This window comes from Homo sapiens, chromosome 7 (assembly GCF_000001405.40).
Source record: "Homo sapiens chromosome 7, GRCh38.p14 Primary Assembly".
Lineage (NCBI taxonomy): Eukaryota > Metazoa > Chordata > Mammalia > Primates > Hominidae > Homo > Homo sapiens.
In genome coordinates this window covers 134,768,646-134,785,817 of record NC_000007.14, presented here as the reverse complement: position 1 = coordinate 134,785,817, position 17,172 = coordinate 134,768,646, and the positions used below count along the sequence as shown (strand labels likewise).

Genomic DNA, 17,172 nt, shown 5'->3' with positions numbered 1-17,172 from the left:
ATATTAGAAGATATTTATGTGGCCTCATTTTCTTTTCTTTGGGATAAACAGCTCTAGATCCCTTATCGGTTCAGCATATGTTTTGCCTCCTGACTCCCTCCAGCCTTTGATGCTAACCCTAGAATGCATATGTATCCATGCCTTTCAGAAAAATGAGCCCAGAACAGAGCACAAGTTCCCAAATGGGATCCGAACTATGCAGAACTCAGGGGATATTTTAGTCCACTTGACAAACACCATGATGGGTGCTCAATGGATTAAAAATTACATAGCAAATATTGCTTAGATCTGAAACTTCCAGTGATTAAGAGTACACCAGCTTTTATGCATTCACCTTATTATGTACTGTGGTTTACATTGAGTTGTGCTTGTTTTTATTTATTAAAATTGTTAAATGATTACATATTAAATCTTCAAGACTGCTTTCATTTGAAGGGAGCCATATCACATGGAAGATTCATATGAAGTTTCTTGCCAACAATAATATCCAGAATGTTTTTTCCCAAAATCTTTCTGAGATGGATGATTCTTATCCTTTCAGTTACCAGTGGTGCAAACTTCTAGATTAATCTCCCTTAACACTGGCTCAGTGGGTCACAGTGATCATCAAGAACTGTGTGATCATTCATTGGGTGTTTGCCTCTCTAGGAGTTTATTCACCTCAAAATTCAAATGATTCCCATTGAGAGCTGTTGGACATTTCAGCTAATTTGCCTTCCATGCTCAATTTCTCTTCTAACTAAAATTACCCATTGAGCTCTTCTTTGCCCAGGGGTGACCACTGCCTGGATTAGAGTAATTCATCCTTAGGCGCGCCTGTGCCTTTGATGTCCTCCTCCTACTAAAGGATTTGCCAAAGACAATAGTCTTTGACTGAACCAATCAGATCTCCTCTCTCAGGACTGGACCTGGAAACACAGAAGAAATTTTCCAGTTGATAGAACAACAGAAAGAGGCAGACACGTGCGCTGAGCTGAGTCACACTAGTGGAAAGGGATGGAGTAAATATCCATGGACCGCGGCTGGGATCCTCTCACCCACCTTGACTCTAACTCTACTCTCTTTGGGCCCTGGTCCTATTTGGGCTTCTGCTCTTGGATATCCCTGTGATTTCATCCGTTCGTTAATCTGTGTCTTACAATCCTGGCCCTTTACTTGAGCTACCAAAGTTTGCTCACATAGAGGTCTATTTCTTCCTAACACTGGGCCATGTGCTCTCCCAGACTTCACCTTATTCATCCATACACTACTTCACTAAGCTCTGCCTGACTTCTGATTTTTGCTGTTTCTTCTTTACTCACCTGGCTGTCATGCACAACTTAGCCCATTTTTGTAACTGATATCCATTCTGGCTTAGACTGGTCCTCCTGACCCCAGTGGAACTAATATCTTTGATGCCAACTGGTCCTTGGCCCTCTTGGGCACTTTGCCTTGGTCCTTCTGGTCTTCAGCACAAGGTGAAGTCAGCCTGGTTCCCCAGCAATGTATCTTGAGACAAGCGAGGGGGAATGTTATATGTGGGTGTCAGAGGAACTAATTATATATTCCTGCTTAATATGTTTCTCTCCAAGTGAGATTATTCCCTTTTAGTCAAGTGCTTTCATGGAGTATTCACAAAACAATGCCAGAAGCCTCAGGATACCATCAAAAAGCAATTTATCTTCAAGTTATACATCATTTATACATATACATATATTTTCAAAGAAAAGCCATGTACTAAAATGAGTGCCCGATATACTAAAATCTTTTAAAAATGTATTTTCCTTCAACTATTCCCTTACTGCTGCTTAGCAAGCCTTTTATTAACTTCTGGGTGTTCTTTTTACGTACACTTAATAGCAGCCATTCCTGGATTTCTCTAGCCCCCACGAGCTCCCCATAGAAAATTGCTTCTTTTCTGGAAATGACCTCTTTTTCTTTGAAATGGAGGTCATATGACGCAATCTCCACCTATATATCTGTGTATTTACCCCCTCTTTTCTTCCTTCCAGATCATGGACACCTCCACTCATGTTCTGATCCCATCCACCCTTGTCTTCTATGGGAATCCAGATCTGACCCCACTCCCCATCTTACATGCCCCAGCTCAAAGGTCTCTTACCTGTCAATCATGAAGCGTGGGTTTACAAAGGGACCTTAAGGGTTCACAGTTTTTATCAGATTCTCAAAGGTTTCCATAGCAACAACACAGGGAAGAACAACACAGGGAACAACCTCATCACCCCTCCCTCACAGCCCAGGTCATAGTTTCCCCCCGACCCCGCTCCCATAGCCTTACCCACAGCCTGCCAATTATGAGTTTGGGGTGAGAAGCAGAGTGGGTCCTTACCACAAAACATGCTCTGACATCTCCTCTGTCTGTGCAAGTGGCTTTCCCTAGCTAGAACCTATCTGTGCTAGAGTGTTCTGCTGTACTCTGGGCCTCATCTTAGAGCTGGCCCCTGCAAATTGTCAATGTTGGATCAAGAAAGCTCCCTATCCGGTACAGGGATGGGGGAGCTGGGGAAGAGGTTACAGGTGGAGGCCTGGGGGTAAGGAAGTTAGGGATGCAACTAGGGTCGGTTACAGCTGGGAGCACTAAAGACAGAAGCAAAGAGGTGAGAGGCGAGCTCCGTGGAGCAGTCTGGTTTCAATACCAACAGGAACCACAGCCAGGTGTTCCTGCCTTCCTTGCCCTTCCTACAAGGCCCAGGCATGACGTTCCGGGGTTCATTCCATGCTTTTGGCTGGAGGCAGAGAAGCTGCCTCAATTACTTAAGGGCTTTCTGTTGTCAGCACTTTCTCACTGGTCTTATGCTCAAGTGGATCTTTGGATTTCCTGGTGCCTTGTACCACTGATGGCCCATCTTATTCCACTTCCTTATATTTGTGTCCTCTTAGTCTGTGATCATCAAAGTAAAAATTCAGACAACATTGGGATAGACCAGTATTCACTGGACACGGCTCAGGGCTCTAGAAATAACCAGGAGCGAGAAGATATCACTCAAGGGTCCTTAAATACGAGAAAGGAAGAGATCATTAGGGATACTAGGTAAGAAGTGGAGGATACCAGCCAAGATGAGCATAATGTCCAGAGGACTCAAATGATAGGCAGTTCAGGGTATAGAATCTGCAGGGAAGAGGGAGCAAACAGCTTCATCTCATTTGGACGTCTTAACCACTGTGGGACATCGGAGAAGCATTACCAATGTCCGTTCTTCACTCAACAGATGAAGTCAAAAGCTGATGATTTCCTCAAAAAGGTCAGGGTTACTTAAGCAGAGGAACCAATACTAGAACTGAGATGTTGTAGTGGTTCTCATAAGTTAAGCCTGTGCCAAAAGTTTCTCTTTAAACTACCCATCTACTCAGGACTTATGGGCATCTCTCCAATAGCAAACTTGGATTAGCCTGACAGATGAAGGACTTTCAGTAAGGAGCTAATGGTATCTTCTCAGGCCCTAAGAGAACTTAACGCAGAAAACGCCCTTTTGAAGTCTGAAAATTCTTTGGCAGCATCTTTCTAACCTCCTCCTTAGTCCTACCATGCTATTTGCATACCACTCTATCAGCATTTTTCCTGTCCCCCGACCACATTTCTGAGACATGTGATAGACTACAGGCAAATGGGGAACTAGCAAATCTCTTTTCATGCCCATCTCTGAATCACTTTTGCGTCTTGCTAAGGAATGACTAACTGGTAATCATGCTATCAAGAAAATGGCAAATGGAGACAATTACATGTGTTTCTACAAAAATGCCTGCTGAGGTGCATTTTATTTATCAGAACAGAGAATACCTGGGCTAGATTCTGGACCTTTACATGGCTGGCCATAAGATCAACTTATTCTATCTACCTAAGACAAGGAGATTCTCAGGCCAGTCACAGGAGCCAATTAGAATTGTTAATGATTCTCATAATAAGGCAGTTGCCTTACTGTCAGGAAATGCTTTCATGTATCTCATTTAAAATCCTTTAAACTGCAGTTTGAGCCTGGTTCTCCTTCTCCTAACTTTAATATAAGAATTGTGTATTTACTTAAGGCAATCTTTTGACTGGAATGATTTAAATTACACCTTCTATTTGCTTCGAATACTTGAAACAACCCTGCACTTTACTTATGGATCAATCCATTGTACATACATTCCTTGTGTGTCCTAGGATCAACTCTTAGTGACTTTTTGTTCTGGAATTTTGTGATTATATTTCTGAAATGAAAGTTACTGTTTTCATTGTGCTCCTTTGGCCTCACTATGTGGGGAAATGTGTTCTAGGTAACATTCAACAGGAAGGAAGTAGCACAAAGAACTGCCTAAAATTCAGCATAAACTCAAATCCTCTCACTCTATCTCTACCTATAACAGCAGAACACCTAAAGTGTTACTTGGAAAAAAATGAGTGTTTTTATGGTTGTTGGGGGTGGGGAGCCCAAGAGAAGGGGGATGGGGGATCTGGAGAGAGTGGTCATAGCACAGTTTGAACTTTCAGGGATTCGGAGATGTTGGTTTCAAAATGGAATTTATCCTCAAATCCCAAGATTATAGATCTCCTTCCAAACTGCATTCCCTTCATGGTTTAGAGAACAGTTAAAAGAAAAATTGCTCTCCATATTTTGATTGACATTAAAAACACTGTGAAAATAGTTTGGAACTTGATCTCTTCGAGGGAAGGACAGTAATTAAACTATAGCTTTTGCCTGCAGCTTTTCTCTCACACTTACTCAGAACTGTTCCAGGGAAGGAAATTCACAAGGAATTCTGTTCTCATATATCACTTCTAGAAGGAGAAATAGGCATTCCCAAGAAAATTATCCCCAAACTTCTAAATACAAAGAGAAAACTTTATTTAATGAATCTCAACCCCAAACTACCGCATTGCATGGAATAAAATCCAGTTGAATCAGTCATTTGCAGCTGGTAGTCTTTAATAGCCAGCACTACTAAAAAATCATCAGATTTACCCTGCTTGCCATATAGCATCTAGTCTTCACTCAGGTTCTAGCTGTATATGTCTGGTTTTGACAAACACATTAGAAGGATTTTCAGTTTACAAGTCCATCTGCATAGTCCTGTTAATAGAAGGCATCTATAAATATCAAGCACTTTGTTCTCATCCACTTTTTTTGACCATGTATTGCCACAGCACTAAAATTCCCCCACCCCTTGCCATCAGCTCTTTCTAAAAGGAATTCCAGGCTACTACCAACTAGCTGCCTTGTACTACTGTTTCAGACACCCAAATATGTCTATCTAGATATAAAAGCCTGCCTCCTTCCTTTCTGAAACACATTGCCAATCGACATCTCTTTAGATTCTCTAGACACACTCAGGCACACTTTCAAACAGAAAAAAAGATTTCTTAAAAAATAGTTTGGTAGGACGTTAAATGTGCTTTCTAAAAAAACACACCCACTAGCGCATGCATTCTCTTGTTATTAGGTTTTATAGGAAACAGACCAGCCTAGGCATCTTCTGTCTTAGCAAATATCCCATCAGTGACATTAACCCAACCAGTGCTAGGTGCTAGTGATCTCTCCATCTCTGACCGTATTTCCTTGCAACTCTGGAAGTCTAGTTTTAAATACTGGCAGCAGACTATAACGCAAAAGCCTTTGGTTAAAAAAATCATTCCCTTTTGGCTTCTCATCAACCTAAAGGATTGTTGATTTTGTTTTTAAAGCAAAACCTCTTCAAATCTTTGGCAATAAAAGATGCAGAAGAGACTGTGTGAGCAGTCTGGTGCAGTAGGCTTGCTAACACTGGCCTTTGGATATCAGGTATAATCTCATATGGCTGTCCTAAACAAAAGGCTATCCTAATCAAAGTTGCCAGTGTTCCCTAAATGTAAGTCTCTATATGGTCACTCTTCTTGTCCCAATTCTAAAAACAAAACTGGAAATCTCATCCTGTTTGCCTTCCGGGAATATCCGTATGGCAGTGAAGCCCAGTCAGGCTCGGGAGTTTGCATGGTTTATTGCCTTGAACATTCTTGCATCTCCAGCTACCTTAGCCAGGAATGTTGACTGAAAGCCGGAGAAAGTCCCCAGATTCTCTCTAGAAGATAAAAAAGAAAGCCTTCTGTGCCTTACCTTGTAGTCTGAAACTTCTTCCCGAGGACTAAGTCGGAAAGGAAGGACTGATTTCTTTAAGCAGGAGCACAGCCAGAGAGCAAGCAGGCGGGCAGGCAGGCAGCCGAATACACACTGCTCTATTCAATAAAACTCCAGACCGCCCTTCCTTGGCCCCTCCCAGAAGTCCATGCTAAGTGAACACATATCCCCTATGTTTACAGTCGGGAGGCGGTGGTATGCATTGTCCTGTCGTTTTTCTAATAGGCAGCCAATGACGACACCCCAGCCAAGGTGGATGCAGCCTGCCTGTGGAGATGCCTGTCATTCCCTAGGCATGCTCAGGAAATCACTCATCAGAAAACCCAAGACCTAAAAAGCTCTGAAACTGCGTGCACGCTGCCAAAACCAGCCTGCTCCATGCCCTTTTTTGGTTATCCTTAGCAGGGCCTCTGGAAGTGAATCCATTGTCAGGAACAATCATAAGAAATGTTAATCTTGGAGAAAGAGGCTGTCTTGTAGAACACAAATGCAGCAATAAAAAGAAAGCACAGTCTCTGAAACAAAAAGTTAACAGATCAGTTTATTGGGCGTGGGGGTGGGGAAGGCTTCTTACCAGAGGGAGTCTTAATAGTATATTTCTTTTCAAAGTACTTGCACATACAAAATGAGTTTAAATTGTTATGCAATTCTAAAACCTGAAGGAGACAGGACCCGGGTCTGCTGAGCAGACTAAATTCTAGCCTGAAAGAGGCACACCTCCCCAAAATACGTCTGCATGTGTTATAAAAATAAGTGACCAAAGGGAAACCAAAAGCGTAGGTCTTTTTTAGCAGGTAATACTGGCCAGAATAAACCTAAGGTCCTACAGGCTTGGATATCCTCACTGGCTTCACTTTCCTCTCCTTATCTCTTTTGTTTCCTCAGATTTGGTGATGTGGAGATAGTACTAGAAATTCCTAGAAATTGATGCACATCAGAGAGGGTATGAAGAGACCCACCACCTGCTTTGGGCTGGGGTAGACAGATGCATATATCCCGCAGAGGTGACATAATGTTCAGGTGACGTCTTGAAAGTGCTCCGACCAACTCTTCATGGTTAGGATGTGTGCTATAAGAGGGTCAGAATTAGTAGATGCTAATGAGAATTAAGGTAACTGGCCCACACATAGTCTTGTCCTTTTCAATACAGAATTCACTCAATTAGTACTTAATTAAAATTGAAATCCCCTTTTTTTGGAGCACTTACTATTTGTCAGGCCTGGGGATAGGTGCAAGATCTATGTCTCATTGTTATATGTTTGAGACTGTTTCATCACTGACCAAGAAGTTTCACAATATTTTTCCTGGCTAATTACAAGTCCAGATACTGGTCTTTAAAAATGGGAGGTTTTACTATATGCCTTTCCCTGTTTATGAAGATGTGACTTAGAAATGATCTCTGTTTACGAAAATGTCCCTGCCCTTTGTGCCTCTTTTAGAACAGTTGGGAAGTAGCCAGTTCGCACTGTTGGTTTCCTTCTTCAGCCTTCCAGCATTAACAAGTTACCCAGAGGCATCCATATCAACTCTCTACACTCATCTCTTTTTTGGGAAGGTTGCTTCCCTCCCCTCTTCCTGACTGCTACTGCTGCACAGCCCAAAAAACTATAGCTGAGGCTCCCAGGCAGAGGGAGAGATGAGCCTCAGGCATCCCAAGAGGAATGCACTTTCCCAGAGAAAAGAATAAATAATGGTTGGTGGGAATCATACAGTCAATGTTGCATTTCAGGTACACTGTGGCACAAGCAGGCATTTGTGGAACACCACTGTTTATAAAATTGTTCCTGTGGGAAAATGTCTTCTGATCCCAGATAAATGATTTAGAAATAAATTTTCGGAACACGGCCAGTTTTGCTGATGGGGACATCCCATATCTGACAGGAAGGAAAGATAGAATAATACTACATAGTCTGGTAAACTGCTGGGCTTGAACATATTGTAGGGCAGACATCAGGAGTTCAGAAAACAGCTGCAATTGGTGATGTCTGTGCAAAGATATGACCTGTGTCCAGAGACGTTCCGGGTGCATGATCTCCAGGTGGTATTCTCCATAACTCAGTGAGGCCTGTTTGAAAGTGCTATTTTCCATTACCGCTGCTGCTTATATCCTAAACCACACTCTCCCTGCTTGTATAAATAATGCCCTTTGGTGGAACAGCATCAGGGTATAATTTTGCAATCTATGAATAAAATAAATACCAGCTTTCCAGAGGAAAGAAAAGTTGTGCTACAAATGGGGAAAATATTATCAACAGGAAACACGGCAGGGACCTGCATTTTGCCTGGTTTTTAGAAGATAAATGGCTAAATATTTTTGGGTTATGTCTTTTGATAAAAAAAATAGTATGTTTCCATAGATAAATTCTGGATATCTCATATATAGGGTATAGTAGATGAGTGACCACACAACCTATTTTATGTATTTGAAATACACTTATCATGGAGGAACTATATAGTTGAAGAATAATTTAACAAATTTCATGTAGTGTGTACCATGATATTGAAAAATTCTTCTTTCTTTGTCCTTTTACTTTTTTTAAACAATCAAGAATTTAAAAAAGAAAGGAAGGGGGAAAAAAAAAGATACATGTTGCTGAATCTCTGCCATGGGAAATTTTACTTTCATAGTATTTACTTTTTCCAGAGGCCATTTGTAAACAGCCCTAAAAATACACGAGATTTATATAGGAAATTTCTGTGAAATATATTTCCCAATTGGATCATCCTAGATAAAGGACTCCTTGTCTATCATAGGCTAGATCAACTTAATCGAACCATAATAAATCTAAAAAGACATTTGGAAATATCTGGACGATTCTTTATATTTTTTTAGTTACAACTGAGTGTTTGCGATCATGTAGATCAGTAGCAAGAAATTATATTTTGCTTGCATGTCAACTTGGGAAAAGTAAAAATAGGCCATTTTTTTAATTCAAAATTAGTTACTTCATTTAGTCATGAAAAACATACCTCCTTCCACCTTAAAATGCCTACTTTATTCAATAGAAAAGAAGATTTGAAAGTTTTAAAAGGCAGCAGAACACCCTTTGCCAGATTCTTTTAGTCAGATAAAACCTTTGCCAACACCCAGGTTTATCAAACAATAAAAGCAGGCTGGTAGAATCTTGATATCAAAATTGGACACAAAAGTACCAAACACAATAGAGAATTTGGATTAAGTGCACTTATGAATGCAGATGAAAAAATTAGTAATTGAATCCAACAGTGTGGAAAAAAGAGATAAGACCAATCCAGAGATGGTTTAAGATCTGAAGATCCACTGATATAATGTACAACATTAGCAGTTTAAAAATAAAATAAATAAGAGAAGTAGAAAAAAGAAAAGAGAAAGATCGTCTCAATAGGTGAATGATACTTGGTAAACTTAGTAATCACTTTGGAAAAAAAACTCTTGGAAAACTAGAAATAGAATCTTTTTAAACATAATGAGAGGCATTTACCAGAAATATATAGCAAACGTCATGCTTAATGATAAAATGTTAAGAGCATTCCCATTATAATCAATGAAAAGACAAAGCCACTACTATCTCTTCTACAACTAAAAAAATGTGCTAGATACCTAACCAAGACAAATAAATAGAAAAAATAGCCACTGGGATTAGAAAGAGAAATAAAGGTCTTTATTTGCTATACAATTATCTGTGTAGAGAATTTGAGAGGATCTATAAATATATTGGAACTAATAGAAGAGCTTAGCAAGATTGTTGGAATTAAGTTCAAGATGCAAAAACCTAGAGTTTCTGTAATCAGCCATCTCTAATTTTTAAATGTAGTGGAAAAAGATGCTATTCATAATAACAAAAAGTGTTCATTACCTGGGAATAAATGTAACAAAATATGTGCAAGAAAGTTATAAAACTTGAGTTAAGGGCATGAAAAACCTGACTAAATGGTGAAATATGTCATCTTCATGAATGAAAAACCTGAAAGTTGTAAAGATATATATTCTCCTCAAAGTAATCCATGCATTCATTATTCTTTTCTTTTTTTTTTTTTTGAGACGGAGTCTCGCTCTGTTGCCCAGACTGGAGTGCAGTGGCACGATCTCAGCTCACTGCAAGCTCCGCTTCCCGGGTTCAAGCTATTCTACTGCCTCAGCCTCCCGAGTAGCTGGGACTACAGGTGCTCGCCACCACGCCCGGCTAATTTTTTGTATTTTTAGTAGAGACAGGGTTTCACCATGTTAGCCAGGATGGTCTCGATCTCCTGACCTCTTGATCCACCCGCCTCGGCCTCCCAAAGTGCTGGGATTCCAGGCGAGAGCCACAGTGCCCGGCCGCATTCATTATTCTAATTAAAATCTCCAAATGACGTATTTTGTAGAACTTGACAAAACAATAGTAAATATTTTAAAAGTAAAGACCTAAAAATAGGCAAAGAGGTTTTTTTATAGAACAATTCTAATTAAGATAAGTGCTATTCACACAAGACTAAACAAATAGATCAATAGAATAAAGCAGAAAGCCTAGAAATAGACCCCAGCATATATGAATTATTTTAGAGGAAGTATTACAAATAAAGAAGAAAAGGGTGGATCACTCTATTAATGGCAGGGTTACAATCAATTTTGTGGAAGCAGAAAATTTAGATTCAAAGTTTCTACTACACACTATAATAAACTAGGTTATATAAAAAACAAACAGAAATGATTAGAAAAAAATTGAAGGTGAATTTTTTTTATCATAGGGTATATAACATAAAAAACAGAATTAACAAATGAAAAGACTAATAAATTTGAGGATATGGTTAAACACGGCAGATCACATAAGAACACTCATTTAATTTCTGCTTCCCCAAACCTCTCCAGACTGATAGTAAAGCAATAAAAAAATCATAAATAAATCCTACAAGACAAAGAGCAAAGAGTACCTGAAAGGAATTAGCATAAGTCCAGATGTTAGGCAAATTTTGGACTATGGAAAATGGACAGATGGCTGGAAATGGACTCAACAGAGCTGAGAAACTGAAATCTGGTCCTGTGAATTAGGATGCCAGCAAGAAGGACGCTGATTCAAGCCTCAGAATCGGGAAAACCTCGGAATATGGAAGCCCTGGGAACCTCTGAGGACAGGCGGTGGAGCAGAAAACAGATTTGTTGTAAGTCTGGGTAAGGAATAGTTAGAAGTCCAGATAGCGTCCTCTACCCCACACAACCAGGTGAGCATCTCTCTCTCAACCAGACGGAAAACTGAAGTTTATTCTGATTCTTCTTTGAAGTGCTGGGCTCAGAGGAACCAGGTGAAGCAGTGAACAGGGAAGAGGCTGAGTGCTGAAAATAAATGTTTAAATGAAAGCCAACTCGTTGAACACTGAACATCTCCAATCGCCTCACCCTGCAGGGCTCCCAGGACACCGACAATCAGGTTTGTATCCCACAGACAGGAAATTGAAGGATTCCATTCCAGAGAAACTGGCATGCTCATGGAAAAAAAGACCTAAACTCACAGACATTTGAGAGACATTGTCCAGTGCACTTTAGTAACCCATTTGCAGCAACTTCCAATTGGCTACTTAGTACCTCACTCTTTTTTTTTTTTTGAGATGGAATCTCACTCTGTCACCCAGGCTGGAGTGCAGTGGCACCATGTCAGCTCACTGCAACCTCTGTCTCCTGGGTTCAATCAATTCTCCTGCCTCACCCTCCCAAGTAGCTGGGATTACAGGTGCCCACCACCACACCCGGCTAATTTTTGTATTTTTTAGTAGAGACGGGGTTTCCCCATGTTGGCCAGGCTGGTTTCAGTGTCCTGACCTCGTGATCCGCCTGCCTCGGTATCCCAAAGTGCTGGGATTACAGGCGTGAGCCACCTCACCCGGCCTACCTCACTCTTAAATATGAGCATCACATTAAGGAAAGAGAGATTATAACAAACAACAGAAACACACACACACACACACACACACACACACACACACACACACACAGAAGAGAGGTTGGGTAGGAAATGGAAGAAAACTTGGAGAAAACTACAATTACAGTTCTCAGTGAGATAAGAGAAGATATTGTATCCATGGAACAAGAAAATCAGGCTTTAAAAAGGCACTTTCAGAGAACAGAAAAGAACGCTTGTGTATGAAAAGTATGATGGCAGAAATTTACAAAAATTCAACTCAAGAAATGCAAGATAAGGTTTAGAAAAATCAACTGGGCACGGTGGTTCATGCCTGTAATCCCAGCCCTTTGGGAGGCTGAGAAGAAGGAGCCTAGGAGTTCAAGACCAGCCTGGGCAACAGGGCGAAACCCTGTCTCTATGAAAAATACAAAAATTAGCTGAGCATGGTGGCACACGCCTGTAGTCCCAGCCCTAGGGAGGCTGAGGTGGGAGGATAGCTTAAGCCCAGGAGGTGGAGGCCGCAGTGAGCCATGATTGTGCCACTGCACCCCAGCTTGGGAAACAGAGGTAGATCTTGTCCTGAAAAAAAAAAAAAAAGTTCAGAAAAATCTTACAGAAAAATGAAGAAGAAGGCAAGCTGGAATAGAAAAGATAAAAGATAAAAACACTGCATAATTACACCTGAGTGTACATAAAAAAGAGGACAGAAAAAAAATAGTAAGAAGAAAATTATCAAAGGAAATAATAAAAGAAGACTTTTGAAAACTAAAGGATACAAGTTTCCAGATCCAAAGGGCCCAATGGGCCAATACAGTGAATGAAAACATATTTCATTCTGAAATTATCAAGTTCCAAGGTTATATGCTTCACCTGAAGGGGGAATAATACTTTGGAGTGAAAATTAGAAACCAAGAAGGAGGACAAAAATCAGGAAACAGAGAATGCAAACCCAGGATAGAGGTGAAAGAGTCCCATAATGGTAAAAGAAAATCCCAGGACAATAGCTGTATGGCTCATTAAGAAACAACCATTAGAGACGGCAGCAGTGGATGCCAGGAGGAATGTTTTAAGGAAAAGTGAGGTAGACAGATTATTCAATGTATTCTTGGCAAAAGCACTTGCAATAAGTACACAGAAAATAAGCAAATGTAAGATTGAGGTCATTATAATTTAAAAAAATTTGTACAAGAAAGGAAAAGTAATCATTGGATACCATATAGTTCAACTGTAAGAAAAATTTACCACAATCGTAAGAATGTAAATATTGCACATTGATTTTTACCAAAACAAAGATGATGTAATTAGATTCAGAGGATAGCAGGCAAGACCATGTTAGTAGGATGATGCTGGGGAGGAGAGCCAAACCTTCGTTTTCTTCAGCAAGAAATCATAGATAATGTCTACTATTGAAAATGTAATAAATAGCAGAATTAGTATGTTGTTTAGGCTCGTGGAAATAAATGCCTAAAAGAACAGTAAGGCTGGGCACGGTGGCTTGCTCCTATAATCCCAGTATTTTGGGAGGCTGAGGCAGGCAGACCGCTTGAGCCCAGGAGTTTGAGGCCAGCCTGGAAAACATGCTGAAACCTCATCTCTACAAAAAGTCTAAAAAATTAACCAGGTGTGGTGGTGCACACCTGTAGTCCCAGCTACTCAGTAGGTGAGGTGGGAGGGTCACCTGAGCCTGGGAGGTCGAAGCTACAGTGAGTCATGTTTGCACCACTGCACTGCAGCCTGAGTGACTGAGTGAGACCCTGTCTCAAAAAAAAAAAAAAAAAGTTCATTTATTCTTTGATTCACTCACTGAACAAATATTTACTGAGTTTCTACCACATGCCAGGGCCTGTTCTAGATGTTGTGAACAAGATACATTTTGATGGAGGGAGGCAGATATACACATTAGTTAACACATGAATATATAATGTCAGGCAGTGGTAAGCGCTATAAAAAAATTTAAAAAAAGAGTAAAGGAATAGGGAGAAACAGGGTAGTCTTTTCTGAAGAAGGTTTTCAACAGAGACATGAATAAAGTCAAGGAACAAGCAGTGAGACTACATGAAGGAAAAGCCTTCCAGAAGGCAAGACAGCAAGTGCATATTAAATAAATAGCAACGAGCCCAGGGGGACTTGGGGAGGAGTGAGAGCCAGTGGCCAGATCCGCCATCCAGAGGCTTCTAGCCGTGGTAAGTACTGCGGGGCTTGTTCTAAGATGGAAGGTCATTGGAAGAGTTTGAGGCAGGAAAAAAAAAAGCACTGTGTCTACCTTGTCTAGAATAGGGGCGAGATTGCCAGAGGCAGAAACAGGAGGTGATTGCCCCCTCCCAGGTGACAGGTGCTGTTGTGGGCTAGGGCAGCGGTGCTTGGGAGCTGAGAGAGCATTTAATTCTAGGACATGGAGATTCACTGATGGCTTAGATGAGGACTGTGAGAAAAAGAGAGGAATCAAGAGTGTCTCCTGTTATGGTCTGAATAATGGAGTGAATGGGAGTGCTATTGAATAGAACGGGCACCCCTGAGGGGGACGGACATTTGCAGGGAGGGGTGGAAATCATATTAGACATATTTCAGGCATGTTAAGATGTTAAGAGGGGAGGGAGTGTCATATGCAAATCTGGTGTTCAGAAAAGGGATCCAGGCTTGAGATGCACATTTGCAAATCCTCAGTTTTTAGATAGGATTTAAAACCAGGAATGAGTTACCTGAGGGAGTGCAGACAGAAAAGAGCGGAGATGTGGGAGCTAACACCCCAATATTTACAGCCCAGAAAAGGAGGCTGAGAAGGAGCTGAGAGCCATTGCTCAGGGGAAGAGGCAGTTGAAGGAAGGGGTGGTGTGGAGGACTCCTGCTTTTGTTAAAAGTCATATAGTATTATTTAACTTTTCAAACAATACAGCTTGTGATAGATTGGGTTATTGTTACCCGATTCACTTCCTCTTTTAATGGAATTCCTTGCAGCACTCTAAGTAGGCGGACTTGACCATGTGGTTTGCCTTGAGCAGTGCAACGTGGCCAGAGGTGACGGCGTGCCTGTCCATGGGGGAGGCTTAAAGAGGCGTCACATGTTTGCTTTTGCCTTGAACACCTGCCCTTTGCTATGATAACAGCATTCCCCCATGCAGTGGGTTGAGCAGTGCCCCCTGACAATATGTTCATCCAAACATATAGGACCTTATTTGGAAATAGGGTCTTTGTATATATAGTTAAGGATCTCAATATGAAGTCATACTGGATTGTCCAGGTGGGCCTGAAATCCAACCATAAGTGGCCTTATAAGAAAAAGACAGGGAGATTTGAGATACACAAGACACGGAGGAGAAGAGGGGGTGAATACAGAGGCAGGGATGGAAGCGACACACCTACAAGCCAAGGAATGCTGAGGCTTGCCAGTGACCCCTAGAAGCTGGAAGGGAGGCGTGGGGTGCAGTCTCCCTCAGGGCCCCAGAAAAAGCCAACGACCCTGTTGACACCTTGATTTTGTACTCCTGGCCTCCAGAACTGTGAGAGAAGAAATGTGCATTGCTCTAAGTCACCCAGTTTGTGGTAATTTGTAATAGCAGCACAGGAAACGAATCCTCCCCAGATAGTGGCTGCTCTGCAGTTTGGTTTCCAGAATAAGAAGACACATGGAGCGGGGCTGGGCCGGTGAGTCCAGTCAACACCAGCAGAGCTACTATTTCCCAGGCCTCATGTGACGGGAGCAAGAAACAAATGTTTGCTGTTGTAAGCCACTAAGGTTTGAGAGCATTTTTTCTTTTTACAAAGAGAAAGGTAATTAATATTTATAAATATTAAGTGAGAGTTAAACTAAAGAAAAAAATTTGGTTACATCAAGAAATAAAAATTTCTGTTCAAAAAAAGCCACCATCTACAAAGGGAAAAGAGAAGCCAAGAGAACATTTTCAATGTTTAAAACACAGAATTAGAATCTAGACTATTGGCAGAACATGGTGGCTCCCACCTGCAATCCCAGTACTTTGGGAGGCCGAGGCAGGAGGATCACCTGAGGTCAGGAGTTCAAGACCAGCCTGGCCAAAATGGTGAAACGCTGTCTCTACTAAAAATACAAAAATTAGCTAGGCATGTTGGCGCATGCCTGTAATCCCAGCTACTCAAGAGGTTGAGGCAGGAGAATTGCTTGAACCCGGGAGGCGGAGGTTGCAGGGAGCCAAGATCACACCACTGCACTCTGCACTCTAGTCTGGGCAACACAGCAAGACTCCATCTTAAAAAAAAAATCTAGACTATCAAGGAATGCCTACAAATCAACTGACACAGAGAGAGAGAGTGTGTGTATAAGAGAAAACCCAATAAAAAATAGGCATAGGATAAACAGTCCACTTAGAGAACACTGCAAAGGTCAAAAGCCTTGAAATGATGTTCAATTTCATTAGTCATCAGAAAAATGCAAGTTAAAACAATGACAACCAGATTGGTAAAGAAAAAAAAAGTTTAATCACGCAAAACTAAACGTTGTTGATGATGTACAAATTCTTATACATTTTGGATAGGAAAGTAGATTGGTGCATTCACTTTGTTGAGTGATTTGACAATATCTAGTGACTTTCAGTATGCACATCTATATTCTGTAATCCCATTTCTAGGTATATCCTCTTGGGACGCCCTCACACTCTTAAGCCAAGAGACATGTCAAAGGAAGCTCATTCGAGCATTGTTTGCAGTAGTAAAAACATTGTTAAAAATGCTGCAATAGCAATTGACAGGGGAGAGGCTACAGAAACCATGATATATAACATAATAGCTAAATATCTAATTATATAAATATATGTATAATTATAAAAATATATAATAGCTAATACCATATTATATATGGAATAGGATGGGGTATTATACATAATAGCTAAAATGAATGACCTAGATGTACCTGAAACTCAGAAGCATATTGAGTGGGAAAAAAGAAGCAGGTTGCAATTGGAATTATTCCATTTGTATGAATCATTTAAGAATGCATATGAGAATGGACTAGAACCACATCAAATTTAAGATAGTTGTTGGCCATGAGGGAGAGAGGGGAATGGTACTGCTCTTGAAATTAAGAAATTTAAAATATATCAGCAATGCATAAAAGAGGATCTTAAGCAATTATGAAAAAAAATTACATCTGTTAACACTGCAGAGTATGTACACAGCTGTTTGTTGTGTTATTCTTAAGCTTTTTGTTGTTTTGTTTTTTTTAAAAAATTGCAATATAAATGAGACATTCTCCCCCC

At 40.7% G+C, this 17,172-nt stretch overlaps 1 protein-coding gene and 1 long non-coding RNA gene across 33 annotated transcripts in view, besides 1 other annotated feature; one reads left to right on the top strand and one right to left on the bottom strand.

Annotated features, from left to right (window-relative positions):
• The window catches only part of LOC124901750 (uncharacterized), a 224,798-nt gene that overhangs the window by 58,067 nt on the left and 149,559 nt on the right, over positions 1-17,172 (top strand). The gene's annotated exons all lie outside the window — the stretch shown is intronic.
• Positions 1-17,172, bottom strand: part of CALD1 (caldesmon 1) — a 259,231-nt gene that overhangs the window by 184,912 nt on the left and 57,147 nt on the right. For 18 of the 29 annotated variants that reach the window (NR_199386.1, NM_001438783.1, NM_001438782.1 and 15 more), the window contains exon 1: positions 6,069-6,184. The exons of 10 other annotated variants lie outside the window; for them this stretch is intronic. The gene's annotated coding sequence lies outside the window, so the exon portion shown is untranslated. Of the gene's footprint in view, positions 1-1,301; positions 1,489-6,068; positions 6,185-17,172 lie in introns of those variants that run through there. One more of the 29 variants, NM_001438781.1, reaches the window with a different exon arrangement.
• Positions 696-1,196: an enhancer, noted in NCBI's record as "H3K27ac hESC enhancer chr7:134469373-134469873 (GRCh37/hg19 assembly coordinates)". NCBI's record gives its function as "activates a minimal SCP1, AML or CMV promoter by ChIP-STARR-seq in primed H9 embryonic stem cells {active_cell/tissue: H9 hESC(primed)}" and the evidence as "EXISTENCE:reporter gene assay evidence [ECO:0000049][PMID:30033119]".